The sequence below is a fragment of the Homo sapiens genome, chromosome 9, assembly GCF_000001405.40.
Source record: "Homo sapiens chromosome 9, GRCh38.p14 Primary Assembly".
NCBI lineage: Eukaryota > Metazoa > Chordata > Mammalia > Primates > Hominidae > Homo > Homo sapiens.
Window position 1 is genome coordinate 18,719,158 of NC_000009.12, and position 15,148 is coordinate 18,734,305.

General features: G+C 42.2%; 1 protein-coding gene across 16 annotated transcripts in view; it reads left to right on the top strand.

Moving 5' to 3' along the window:
• The window catches only part of ADAMTSL1 (ADAMTS like 1), a 1,004,318-nt gene that overhangs the window by 812,525 nt on the left and 176,645 nt on the right, over positions 1 to 15,148 (top strand). For all 16 annotated transcript variants that reach the window (XM_011518064.4, XM_017015312.3, XM_011518063.3 and 13 more), the window contains one exon: positions 2,379 to 2,508. In XM_011518064.4, coding sequence (XP_011516366.1) covers positions 2,379 to 2,508 — 130 coding nt within the window. The remainder of the gene's footprint in view (positions 1 to 2,378; positions 2,509 to 15,148) is intronic.

A 15,148-nucleotide genomic window follows, 5' to 3' on the forward strand; every position in this document is an offset into this window, starting at 1 on the left:
TGCAGTCAGCATTACAGAATATGATGGAATAATTTGAATGTCTAATAGAAATCTCAAATGCTCCACCCTGAACTGGCCATGATATATTTAAATTAAATTTTGAAGCTCATAAACAATTTAGAAAAAAGAAAATGTAAAGATACCATCACAGCCACAGGGTAAATATTGTGATTCTTTTTTTATTTTTATTTTTATTAATTTACTTTTGAGACGGAGTTTTGCTTTTCTCACCCAGGCTGGAGTACAATGGTGTGATCTCAGCTCACTGCAACCTTCATCTCCCTGCAACCTTCACCTCCCATGTTTCAGCAATTCTCCTACCTCAGTTTCCCAAGTAGCTGGGATTACAGGTGTGCACCACCATAGCTGGCTAATTTTGTACTTTTAGTGGAGACGGGATTTCACCATTTTGGCCAGGCTGGTCTCGAACTCCTGACTTCAGGTCATCCGTCCACCCTGGCCTCCCAAAGTGTTGGGATTACAGGCATGAGCCACTGTGCCTGGCTTTGTGGTTCTTTTTTTTAAAAAATGTTTAATTTCTCAGACTTACAAAGAAGAAAGGTGATTTGGACTCCAGCTGAGTCACTTTTTAAATGATGGCCTTCCTAAGTGGACTAGATCAATGTCACATCAACCTAGGAAGTATTAGCTGATGATTGAGCTGATGACTTCTTGGAGAAACACAGCATACGTGGGAGGAGAGCAGCATGGTGGGTCAACTGTACTATACTAGGTAGTATCTGATGAAGCAATGCAGAAAATAAAGCAAGGCAATATATGTGTATTTATGTATATTGCTAATTACATGGATAGTCCCAGACTCTACTATAACTATATATAAATGTCCAGCTATAGATAGGTATCTTTAAATGTAAGTATCTTTATATACACAGCTATGTATGTCTGAAGGCAAATTAGTGAGAATGTCCTGTCTTGCCTCTTCACTCAAACTGAGCTCTGCTGAAATGATTCCAGACAAATGTCTAGGTTATTCCTAAAGATCTCCAGGGAAGTAGATATGACAGCCTCTTAATATTTTTAAATATTAAGTCTATCAGTCAGTACTAAGGGCACAGCCATCCTCAGCTTTACCATTTACAACTGTATGAACTTAAGCAGGTCTTTTCACCCTTCCCAGCCTGTTTTCTTATCTGTTAAATGGGAATAAAAATAGTGCTTACTTTGTGCAGTTGTTGAGAGGACTGAATGATGCATGCCAAGCTCTTAGCGTTGGTACCTGGTTAATAATGGGCATCCTGTATATGTTAGCTACTGTTATTATGACTGGGCATCAAAATGAAATGTCTGGTCATTACATTGCTCATTTAAATGTCTCCACAAGGGGACCAGGTGCAATGGCTCACGCCTGTAATCCCAGCACTTTTAGAAGCCGAGGTGGGCAGATCACTTGAGGTCAGGAGTTCGAGACAGACTGACCAGCATGGTGAAACCCCATCTCTACTAAGAATACAAAAATTAGCCGGCCATGGTGGCACACGCCTGTAATCCCAGCTACTCGGGAGGCTGAGGCAGGAGAATCGCTTGAACCCGGAAGGCAGAGGTTGCAGTGAGCTGAGATCGTGCCACTACACTCCAGCCTGGGCAAGATTCTGTCTTGAAAAAAAATTTTAAAATAAAATAAAAATAAGTGTCTCCCCAAGGGCCCTGCAAACCACCTTGGAGAACTTCCCAGTAACCTTGTGCCAGTCACTGCTCAAACTCCTGTTTCACTAGCTCTGAGTCAGGGCCTGCGGGTGTCAGTGGGAAGGTTGTTTTCCACGGCTGTGGTTATTATGCATCTTATTCTCCTTCTTTGTTCCAACTTCCAAGGCTGCCCTAGGTCACAAAAGAAATGAACCAGAATCAGAAGGCAAACAGCAAAGACTGGAGTCCTAGATTCAAGACCTCAAGAGCCCAGCAGTTTACAGAATTCTGGATATAAAACATGGCCTTGGGCCTCCCTTCCAAATACAACGATTTCCTTTCAATTAAAATATAAGATGTGAAGGTTTTGGGCCCCTTTTTTGCCACCCTGTGCTCCTTGTTCATTGAAGTATCATGTTCCAGCATTGGTGGCATTAGCCTCGTGGCATTTTTTTAAGCATTTCAAGAGTCTAGGTAGCAGCCTCTCTTCTGTGGGGGAGTTGCCCTCCTCAAGGAGCATGCTCACAGAGGCAACAAGCTTATGAATACTTTCTCCCAGCTCAAGTGATGCTTGACAAGATTGGCAGTCCTGGGCTTTAAACTGCCATCTCTGACATACAGCGAGAGTCCTACAGAACACAGGGACCTCCCACCAGCTGCCTTGTCTACACTTCATCACCCCCCACACACACACCCACTTTGCACTCTGGCCTGACCGTGTGATTTGTACACAGGTGTCCAGGAGGCTGTGGTGAGCTGCTTGAACAAACAGACTCGGGAGCCTGCTGAGGAGAACCTGTGCGTGACCAGCCGCCGGCCCCCACAGCTCCTGAAGTCCTGCAATTTGGATCCCTGCCCAGCAAGGTAAGGGATGTGTGGCCTGCCCTGCTGTCCAGGGGCACGTACAGAACTGGGCGCATCTTTCAGTGGGCAAGACTGTAACACTTATTTGTTACTCAGTGTTTTGAAAACCAATTAGCATCAGTTCAAACTTTTAGTCAAATCCACTTAAGTTTAATTGAAACCAGGGCTTTGGAATTCTAGCCCAGTCAATGGTCATGCCAGAATCTGGAAGATACCGTGCATTCACTTGAGCCTGTGGCATGGCTGGTATGTGTGTGTGCCACGCAGTTGCTTTCCCCTAAAGGGAACATGAGGTGACAACAGACTTCATGGGCTCTGCCACCTTTTAGCCTGTGTCCTAAGCACTCACACCATAGTAATGAACTGGTCTGTGAATTGCAGAATATAAGGGCCTGAAGCAACTGGGTGGTATAATTGATCCACTGTGAAATCTATATGCACACAGCATGCAGATTCATCGTAGCATGCTCTGGGGGTGTGTGTGTCATTCCACATGCGTAAAATCAATTAGAGCATTTCATTGTTCAGCCCTGCCTGGGTCTCATTATTAGCCAACATTGAGTCACAGCCTTGATTGAATTAATCAATCCAATCACTGCTTCAGTCCCTACAATTTTATGGTGTCTTGAGAAACTTGCCTTCTAGATACTTCTTTTTGAGCAAATCTCATCTATGGGTTTGGAAGGGAGACGTTTAAGAACTAAATCCAGACTTTCAAATCTGCTGATGGAATGAAGAAATGTTGCTGAATAGGGTCAGATCCTAGATAAAAGGGGGAATGCTGATTTTGAATGATAGTTTTTCTCTTTCTGCAAAGTGTGTCATGTAAGAAGTAGTTAATACCTGTATTGCTGTCAGGCATTAACAATAGTTTGCTGGTCACGATGATGCACTGCTTGTATTATTTCCCAGCTGGCTAGATTCCTTTCTTTGGGACTTGGAGGGTACAGATCATAGTCCTCCTCCAATCACATGGAGGCACATCCCATGGTGACACTCCTCCTGCTAGTCACCAGAGTTGTTCTGTATGATGATCTGAATGGTGGACCAGGGCATTCCCCTCTTCAAATACAGAAGTTAAGAGGGCAACTCATGCTATATTCTCCAAGGCAACCATAAAATCAGTCAGCCACTGCTTTGGAGAAGCACCCAACCCATGAGAACAGCAGTCAACAAGATAGAGTCAAAGTCAGGTCCTGTACATGAAATCCTGAGTAACCTCGTTTTCTATCCCTGCCCCACCTGGTTCCACATTTCTGTCCTAACTTCGCAGCTCTCTAGTTGTTGAGCCTAAATGTGTGGGCAAAGGGCACCAACTTTTCTATTTGACTACAGTCCTGTCATCTAGGAAGAAGCAGTATCGACTCAGCATGGAACGCCTGCAACGTTCTTTGTTAGGCAACCAAGAGGCCTGGCTTCTCATCCTGCTGTCACCAACTAGCTCTGTGGCCTAGGGCGAGGTGTCTGCCCTTTATGTTTCCACATCTGCAAAGTGAACTGGTTGTACCTGATGATCTGAGATCCCATGACTTGCTCACATGTCCCATGATTCTTTATTTTGTAGGCAGAAGCATTAAACAGCTACTCCTGCTGCTGTGTGCTAATCATTCCTGTAATTTCTGTTCTGCTTATTTGCCATTATTTGAAAAACATGCAAAAGGGTCTTTCTAACCACATTCCTGTGTTGTAACAACACCCAAATGCTGAGGCAGTGCCGAGGAGTCAGTGCCTGGGACTTGCTTAAAACTGCTGGGACTCGTGGTCCCTAAACCCTTCTTTGAGCACCAAAACGAATAGGACATGAGATGTTACTTCTCATTCTCAAAGTACTAACTATGTTTAAGTTACAAAAGGTTAGGTTATCCTGTGACCCTTTTGTTGACTCACAGACAAGAACAGTTGTTGAGCTTAATGTTGTCGCATTTGCTCCAGATAAACTCAATTCTCTGATTTCCCACCAGCCAGCTGTCAAGCCAACAGGCAAGACCTCTCACTGGGCACAGCCAGGAGTTTCTTGGGTCGACCATACACATTTAAACATTTGTAGAAGGTTGCTAATTGCAACAATAAAGGGGACCAAAGTATAATGGCCTAATCTCATCCAAGAGTCAAAACAGATTTTCCCCCTAAAAATGATAATTGTATAGAGGTGCCTTTCCTGTGGAATATCTCACTCTGATGTCAGAGAAAAATCTCTCCTTCCCTTCTCCTGGTGTTCAATGTATACAGAAAATAAAATGTGTTTGGTAGGAGCATAATAGTGTGTTGTTTTCCCACACAACCCACAACCTCTGTTCTGTTGGGAGCAATTTAGGTCTTTAATTCACAATTCTTACTCCACATGGTTCAGCGTTCCCTGTACATTTTTGTGTGTCTTCTGATGGGATGCAAGTTTCTAGACCGTGTCCTTTGGGGTCTTGGTCTGTGCTGCTATGCATGTGTTTAAAAAAATACCATAGCATTTTCAGTGGGACATAACAAAATGACATTTCAAGTCTTAGTCACTGGGCCTTTGTCTCTGAGAGGTCACCCCCTGGTTAAGATAAATAGCTTTCCCAGGCAGTTGTTAGTCCCACTGAACACCAGTTAGGGAGCCACTTTTTTTCTTGTATGTAGTCAGAATTATCAGATCACATGGAGAATACCAAAGGCCCTAGAGGGCAAGTCCAATCTGCTTAGCCAGGCTTTCTAAGATTAAACTTGGCTTCTCTTGACTCTGTGTGATGGCAGGGATTGTTTCAGAAGCACATGTCTAACTTTCACCAGGTTTAGGCAAATACATCCTCATACCTGGTTATTCACAATAGGAAGATGTCTTCTCAAGCTGGAGGTATTCTGACTGTTCCAATTTGTGTGTTTGTGTGCATGTAGTGCCTACATTTTTTAGAACACTTTTTAAAAATAGTCATTTTCTGTTAGAAGAGTACTAGATTTTAGAGTTCTTGCTATCAGCTTTGTGTCTGAATCCTCCTTTCTATATTTCTGACACCTAGTATAATGTTTGACACATAGTAGATGATTATTAAGTGTTTATTATATAAATGAGTATGAAGGACCAGGGCCAAATTTATAGGTAGCAATGTTTGGACCATATTATCAATGACAGCTGGGAAGACCTCAGTGCTTTCCCTCCTCTGCATCCTCCTTATCCCTTCTCTCCAACCTTCCAGATGCTGTTGATCCTTTCCTTAAGCTTAAGGATTTAAATGCCAACTTAAAACATAAATAGCCTCAGGATTGAACCTTTTTTTTTTCTTTTGAGACAGAGTCTCGCTCTGTTGCCCAGGCTGTAGTGCAGTGGTGAGATCTCAGCTCACTGCAAGCTCCGCCTCCCGGGTTTACACCATTCTCCTGCTTCAGCCTCCCAAGTAGCTGGAACTACAGGCGCCCACCACCACGCCTGGCTAATATTTTGTATTTTTAGTAGGGACGGGGTTTCACCATGTTAGCTAGGATGGTCTCGATCTCCTGACCTCGTGATCTGCCCACCTCGGCCTCCCAAAGTGCTGGGATTACAGGCGTGAGCCAACGTGCCCGGCCAGGATTGAACCTTTTATGTTATCATGTATGTATGGCAAAGTATCCCCCAAGTAAGGATACAAGGACAAGCTTTAATAGAAAAGAGAGGGACAGATGGAGGTTAAGTAAGTTATAGGCATTACCCAGGGAGGAATTTGATTGTCGGGAAAGATGGAAAGTAGTATATGGAAGACAGATGTTAATCCCTTCACAACTTTGCCTAAGATTAACCATAAGCAGTTAGGACCATTTTTGCTTGTGAGCTGCCAGTGAGAATTTTCCATCAAAGTTAATGAGTAATTTGTGTGTCTAAAAGCCATATCATCCACCCAGTCCTTCAGTGGTGAAACCAGCTCGAGGGAGAAATACCCAAAAAGGACCTAAGATCAGTCATTAAAAAAGAAATCAGCCTCCTATTCCTAATAAGGAGGTTTTCTGTGTTATAATTATACAAGGAATACATGAATATTCTCATTCTTTAAAACTCAAGCACAGCAGAATAAAAAAAAAAGAAAGGTATACCTTCCCTTATCACCACCATCTTCTTCAGTTCTAGTTCCTTCTTATACCCAGAGATAACCATTGTTAATGCTTTGCTACATACACTTCCAGATAGTTTTCTATGAATTTATATACATATAAGAAGATATACAAATAGATAAAGCTTTTTCCCTTTGTAAATGGGATTTTATTTTGTATATTGTTGGGAAATTTGATTTTGCCATTTAATATTATGCACTAAAAATCTTTTACATCCCTGAGACACCAAAATAAAAGAACCAGCACATTGATTTAGACCTACTCTGTCACTTTCAGCTATCTGACCTTCAAGAGGCCATACACCTTTTGAATCCTCAATTTTCTCATCTCTGAAATAGGATCATAGTAGGCACTCAAAAAAATTCATTATCTTCTCCTTTCTTTTCATTTTCAAACTAGTACTTCTAGTTTAAAAGAAAACGTGATTTTTAAAAATTCAGGACTTAAATTTTATTAGATGTTTTTATTTAACTAAAGTCTTAATACTTAAGCTTCAGTCTGGGCGTGGTGGCTCACACCTGTAATCCCAGTACTTTGGGAGGCCAAGGCAGATGGATTGCTTAAGATCGGGAGTTCAAGACCAGCCTGGACAACATGGCAAAACCCTATCTCTATAAAAAATACAAAAATTAGCTGGGTGTGTGTTGGTTGAGGGGGGTGCCTGTAGTCATAGCTACTTGGGAGGCTAGAGTGGGAGGATCACTGAACCCAGGGATGTCAAGGCTGCAGTGAGCTGTGATCACACCACTACACTATTGCCTGGGTAACAGAGTGAGACCCTGTCTCCAAAAAAAAAAAAATAAGCTTTAGCAACTATCTCCCTGGTTTACAATAGCAATGACATGAGCAGCCCAAGGAAAAGCAGAAAGTACTACCTTTAAAAAAAAAAGTGTATGACTGTTATTAATTATAGCATTTGATAGCCTGGCCAGTGTGTGTTGAAAAGATTTGGTAAACGTATGTGGAGGAGGAGAATTAAGTAAGCAATGAAAGCCAGATGCTGAAAATGAAGGAAATTCCAAGCAATTTCTGCAGCTTTGTTCTAACATACTTTTTAAACTAAACTTTTATTTCTGTGCAACAGAGAACAGCTGAGTGGTACAGAATAGATAAACAGGGAAGGGAGAAAAAGCTCATAATTCCAGGAACAGTACTTGGTTTCTGCCCTCCCCCTGCCCCAGCCCCAGTCTCTTTTCTCAGACCTAGGATGGTTCTTAGAACCAGCAAGAGCTATAAACGAAGCTTGAGAATCCCTGTTTGAAAGGAGAGAGTTAAGAAACACGTCTGAAAGGTCACAGAGTCTTCTCTTTAAAAGCATACTTCAGAATGCCTATTTTATTATACACTAACAAAATCCATGTATACTAGCAGCAAATGATTTCCAATTTCCAATTTTCTTTTATATTAGCTTACAATGGCTAGAGCAGAAGGTGCTGCCTTTTAACACAATCATATTTTAATTTATTTGATGGAGCTTTCAAAGCCTTGCAGGCTCTTCCTCTCTGACAACTTGTTTTAAAGGTTACTGTTTCAACATGCTCTTGAAATATTGGTTTATCTTCTGCTGTACTCCTAAATTTCCATACGCTGCCTTTTGGCTCTGTCCACACTAACTTTTAAGTGCTTAAAGCAAAAGTACACCAGAGCTCACTGGCATCCACAGAAATTGAGTCCATATCCAGGCGCCTTTGAAGAGTTAATGCTGTTACTACTGTCATCCCCCTTGGTAAATTCAGATGTACTTACACTGTCTCTCTGTTTTCTTCCATTGATGGATAGGAATCTGCCATAGCCTGTTCCTTAATGGTTGGGCCTGACTGGGCCAGTGGGAGTCTCTTTTGTTTCTCTAGTGGGACTGTATTGGCCCAGTGATCACAAATGTCCCCAGCAGCATTTTGACATCAACAAGGGTAAAGGTTATATGTTTATTTGCCTCAGGGCTAAAATGTTTATTTTTCCTAGATATTCTTTTCCATGTGTGAGCATGTGTGACCATGGAAAGGAATATCTTTACATCACCTGTTACATCAATCTTGAATCTGTGAGAAATGAGCTTTGATGATATCACTTTGCGGCTGGGCACAGTGGCTCATGCCTGTAATCCCAGCATTTTGGGAGGCCGAGGTGGGTGGATCATCTGAGATCAGGAGTTCAAGACCAGCCTGGCCAACGTGGCAAAAACCCGTCTCTACTAAAAATGCAAAAATTGGTCGGGTGTGGTGGCGTGCCCCTGTAACCCCAGCTACTCGGGACGCTGAGGTAGGAGAGCCGCTTGAACCCAGGAGGAGGAAGTTACGGTGAGCCAAGATCATGCCATTGCACTCCAGCCTGGGCAACAGAGTGAGACTCTGTCTCAAAAATAAATAAATAAATAAATAAATAAATAAATAAATAAATAAATAAATAAGACAACTGCCTTGCATGCATGTATTTAGTTGCTGCATGAGTTTGGGGTAAAAATCAAGGGGTTAGGTCTACCTTCCCATCATGTCACCTGAAAGCATATATGATATGACTCATTCTAAAGAGATAGAAACATCAGCATTAGGAAAATCCATGCAATTACATCCTGAGAGGGAAGCTTTTCTGGTTTCTTAACATCTATGTGATCGGACAGCACTTTAGACCACATAATTCTGCCTAGACTCTGGGAAATGTCTTTATATAGACCGTTGGTTAACGTTAACTTTCTGCACAAATATTAAAGCAGAGAGTGTTTTTGCATCCCAATTCAGAGAAAAAAAAAACACACACACACACATAACAAGCATCTTTGTGTCTGCTTGTATTTGGTTGTCACGGATAACGAGAAGACAAAACCCTGTCCTAAAGGAGTTACCAGTTAATAGATGAAGAAGATTTAAAAATAGTAACTTTATGAATAGGGCAAGCATGGAGTTCGGTGGAAGCTTGAGGCTGAGAGAAGGCTTCCTGGAGGAGGCAATGCCTATGCTGAATGGTAAGGCCTAAGTAGGAGTTATCCAAATGAAGAAGGAAGATGTTGCAGGCAGAAGGAAAACCATGAGCACAAAATGAAGGACAAAAAGTGGAAGCCAGTGTTAGAGAGTGGACGGAGGCCAGATCCAGGAGAGTCCTGTGTGCCAAGTTAAGTTGTTTAGACTTTATGTCCTATGGGCACTGAAGAGCCATTGAAGGATATTAGCCAGGGGTGTGGAACCGTCAGATTTGCTTAGAGAAAGATGAGTCTGGCTGCTCATCCAAGAAAGCTAAACTCTGAAAATGGTGGTTAGCTTTTACTGTAGGCACGTTTCCTTTTTCTCATGTAGAGTCAAAAATAAATAGTGTGCTCTGTGTGATCTGGACCATAACATTTTTTCATTGAAAAATTAATGCCCTCCTATCCCAGGTATGTTCACATTGTGATTGCTCCTATGATCAACCCAGTGCATGTTGACTTGGCCTAGCCACCTGGCAGGAGGAGGATACAGCCCCAAGGAAGGGTGTCAGGGCGTCATGAGTGTTGCAGCTATCTGATCCCTGGCGGCCTTTCCAGCTCTAATATTCTGTGATTCTTTGAAGGTAATGATAATTATCCACAGAATTGAAGCTTTTCAACAAAGAAGGAACAATTCTAATCAGAAAAATACCTTGAGTCAAATTTAAGTTCCAAAGACAAAGCACCTCTATTAGTTACAAAACAGGAACTGGCTTTAACTATAAAGAGCCACGAGAAGTCTGCAGGGAGCAAGACCTACCTGGCCATAAGAAAAATGTAGGTGAAAGCATTCAGGCAGCAAGGATGGCTCAACATTGAAATGCTGAATGTTTTTATAATGCCTTAATGGTGTTTGTTTATGTGTAAAGGGATACAAATATCCTGCATCCGTCCATTTATAATGTTACGCTGCCCTTTAAGATAACTAGAATTTCTCTTCCTTCAGTCTCCACTGAACAAATGTCTATTGAATGCCTGCATTGTGCCAAGCATTGTGTGGGAGATACAGTAATGAACAAGACCCACTTTGTTCCCTGCAGCAGCCAAAGCCGGAGTTTGGGAATGGTCCTGGAGGGGTCACTCTATTTTCTAAATCTTGGATGCCTTAAGTGCTGCTCTTCTTAAGACACTTATTATCTTAAGCCTCCTGAGTTCTTCATTGCACTAAGAGTTGATGTATCTGTACCAGTTATCAACCTCATTGTTCATAAGCACCATGAGAATGGAAATATCACCAGCAGATAACTTTCTTCTGTGGATATGGTGATGAAACATTGGAGTTTTATAGTTCAAAACCTTCCAGCTTACAAATCAATCAACAGTAGCAGAGTGGAGTTTCCCAAAATAAATCTTTTTTTTTTCTAAGTTTTTTGCTTTCCTTACAATCTAGTGTTTCCAAAGTCCTAAGGTAACAATTTAAGAGCAGGCAATAATTTGGCTGATGCTTTGAAATGATGATTATTGCTTCCTAAGTATACAAGATGCCTTCTTTGGAAATTTTGAGCAGAAGTCCTCATGAACAATTTGACGAGAAGAGTTTTTCTATTGACCTTATAGTTAGAAATATGCTATATTACTATGTTCCTTAAACTTGGAAAACAAAGTAGGAAAAGGACTTGAGAAAGAGGTAGAGAAAAAGAGATGTTTAAGTGACATAAAAATGAGGGAGTGAAAAAGAGAATGCTCTGATTTGTATCCAGTAATCTGGCCGATACAGTTCAGGAACAGTTCATACTTGTGAAAATATTATTCCTGTCATGGCGCCAGCCAAGGTTAGGCAGTTCTTAGGTTATCTGCTGCAGGTGCAGAAAGATCTGTCACAAAGCAGAGCCCAGCCAGCTACCTTCTTTTTCATAGTGAATTCTTCCGTCATTCATGTCTTTTCCATTCCCTTTCTCTTCTTCATTTTATCTAGTTATCTTTATCCAGGGCTGCAGTGCACTTAGGTGTTTATGTCAGGGACACAAGGAAACCTAAGGGAAGAATGATTGTCACTGCATTAACACAGCTCCCAGACCTGTAGATGCTCATTACCTTCTCATGAGGCTTCAATTTTTACATGGGGAGTTACTGTCCTTGAGGCCTAGACACGCACAGACACAGGCCGTGGGCTGCATGCTGGAACAGCTGAAAGTGGTGTCTTCTCTGTAACTTACTGCTATTGACTCTGGTCACTGAGTGGATAGACACAGACACCTTTTCGGCTGCCTAAAGGAGCTACTATGTGATTCACAGAGGTAGAAAGGGCCCTCTGCCCGAGTTGCCTGGAGCTTGACACTTACTCCACTATTAGTGAGGCTGTTAAATACCAAGCCGTGACTTATTTTGATCATATATATGCCTCTAGAAGAGATGGCTGATGGTCATCTCAGCATGGTTTTTCTTTTTTTACCAGATATGATTTTTCCCAATGGGGGAATCTTGGCAATTTTTAAGAATTGGGGAATTTCAGGAGGACAAGACCAAGAGGAGACTTGGCAATGTCAAAGCTAAATATTCCCCACCAGGAGTAGAGATACTGCCTGGAAAAAAAGAAATATCATAGGGTTTTAAGATCAGACAGATGTTGGCTTTCTCACTTGCTCTGTAGCATGGGCTGGTGTATTAGGCTGTTCTCACGTTGCTATAAACAAATACCTAAGGCTAGGTAATTTATAAAGAGAAGAGGCACTGGGTGTAGTGGCTCATGTCTATAATCCCAGCACTTTGGGAGACTGAGGTGGGAGGATCACTTGAGCCCAGGGGTTTGAGACCAGCCTGGACAACATTGTGAAACCCTGTCTCTACAAAAAATACAAAAATTAGCCGGCCACAGTGGCATGCACCTGTTGTCCCAGCTACTCAAGAGACCGAGGTGGGAGGATCACTTGAGCTCAGGAGGTCAAGGCTGCAGTGAGCCGTGAGTGCACCATGCAGTCATGCCACTCAAAAAGAAAAAAAAGGAAGAAAAAAGAAAAGAGGTTTAATTAGCTCACAGTTCTGCAGGCTGTACAGGAAGCATAGCAGCATCTGCTTTTGGGGAGGCCTCAGGAAGTTTCCAATCATAGTGGAAGGCAGAGCAGGGGTAGCATGGGCTACTACTTCACATGGTGAAAGCAGGAGCAAGAGGGACAGTGAGGAGGTGCTACATACTTTTAAATGACCAGATATCACAAGAACTCACTATCTTGAGGATGGTACCAAGAGGATGATACTAAACCATTCATGAGAAGCCATGCCTATCATCCAACCACCTCCCACCAGGCCCCACCTCCAACATTAGGGATTATATTTCCATATGATATTCGGGCAGGACAAACTACATCAGCTGGCCACGTTACCTCTCTAAGACTCAGTTTTCCTTATCTGTAAAACAAAGATAATTATCCCAACCACAGAGCAGGGTTGGTAAGGATGATCGCATATGTAAAACACTTAGCTAGTTCCTACCTCATAGAGCAGGCACTGATATAAATAAGGATTTGCTAACACTCTTACTTTTCTATGCAGGAAACCATATGATATAGACCTTCATAATAATTTTATACTCACCGAGTTTATTCTGAAATTTTCTTAACCCACTAGTATGGGGCAGGGTAAAGCGAAGCTATGGATAGAACCTAGCTTCAAGCCAGCTTTCTGTACAGCCCTCACCAGATCTCTTAGGCAGTTAGACAACAGGAAGCAGGGCAGCTTGTCATCATGGGGTCCTGAAAAAGGAGTACTTGTTGGGACATTCCATTTAATGTTGACACCTAATCCAATAAGGTGTGTTTTGTAAGTACCATAATGAGATGATAAAATGGTAGCAGGGGAGACAGAGTCCAAAGGGTCATTAAAAAGTTAATATCCTGTGTGACATGACTGAAGGGAGGAAGGTCCTTTGACAAGAGGTGTGATCCTGAAATGAGCCGCTGTGTCCCGATGGCCAGAAAGGCCTGGGATAAGGCAGGAAGAAATCAGGAAGCGTCGATGAATTGTGTTATTCCTAGCGTTGTCTCCTCTAATGTTTGTGGGAGGGAAGAAGAAGAAAGTGAGGAAGGAAAGAAGGAACAAAGAGAGTAAAGGAAAGAAAAGAAGGAAAAAAGGAAAAGCCACATCATGGTAGAGTTAAGGCACAGGGCATCTTGTCCCCATATCCTTGCTGACCTTCACAGGTCATCTTTGAGCAAGGTATGGCTTCCCTAATAGCTTCTATTTATTAAGCACTTACAATATGCATGGCACAGTGCCCATCACTTTATATACATTATTTTGATTAATCTTACCCACAATTTTATGAGAATGATTCCATTCCTATCCTAACTTTACAGCTGAGGAAACAGTCTTTAGTGAGATATCTTGTAACTAGCCAGTGGCAGGTCCAAACTTGGAACAAGGTATATTTAATTCCAAAGCAGTTACTGAGAACCTGAGGCTGTCTGTCCCTCTGTCACTGTGTTTACAGATCCATCCATCACCCCATCTGTCTCTCACACTGTCCTGGGTACTGTGCTGTAACCGTGGGAATGACCGCAGTGTAAAGAACCAACTCTAGTCTCATAGCAGCGTACAACCTAGTAAACTTCACAAGTTAACAAGGTCTGCTTTCTTCATCTCTATCAGATAACCTTCATCTTATACTCTCAGTTACCAAAAGTAGGACTAGGCTCTTGGAGAAAGTGAGCATTTGAAAGACAGAGTAAAAAATTCATTAGAGTACAGATTTCTCAGAGCAGAGCCCAACACATAGGAAATGAAGCATGCTAAAAGAGGAGTCTAATAGAGCTAAAGTGAATGTCTTCAACCCCACCACTGAGTTATTAGGCAAAAAGCTCATTTCCTTAAAAAAATAGAAAGAAATACTAAGACATGCAGAGAGGTGCTTTGCTTATAGATCTGGAAGAAGCTTTGTATCTTTGTTCTGCCACTGGCTTAGCTTATGCTTTGGTGATGCTTGTTCATGTTGTAAATTACCGACACCACCACTCCCCCCACACACACACTCACTCGCTCACTCTCTCTCTCTGCCCCCCACCCCACTTCTCTTCTCTTTCCCCAGTGCAAACCTGGGTCCTTGCCTCCTTTTCTGTGCTACTCTCTTTCTGACTTTCCTAGTGCCTGTTCCCTCTCTCCCCTGAAGACTTATTCTCAGTCACCTTGCCTTTTGACTACCCAAATTCCCAGCTGACCCTTCTCTGTCACTTGTACGGGGTACAGTCTTCTCACTTCCTTCAACTCTTTTTTTCTCACTCTCCACCACCCCCACCCCCATTCATTCAACTCAACTCAGCTAAGAATTAGGAAAACAAAACTACCTAAACTAATTCACACTAAGGTGTAAATGACTGATTCCTATCCCTTTATTCCAGCTGTGAGAGCATGGGCTTATAAGTCCCGTAAATCAGGGTTAAAATCCAATTCATATAGTATGCTGCCTCTTTGGCCTTGGGCAGGTTGTTGAACTTCTCAGGGCTTCAGTTTCTTCCTCTTTAACCCCAGAGAGTGGTTGTGAGGAGAAGTGTGTTAAGCGCTTAGCACAGTGCCTCGCTCATACTAAGTACTCTATGAATGGTAATAGAGATTAGTTTTGGGTTTTGTAGGGTATTTTACGTATCTTTGTAAGAAGCAGTCCTTGATTGGAGGATGTAGGTGATCTGTGTGTAC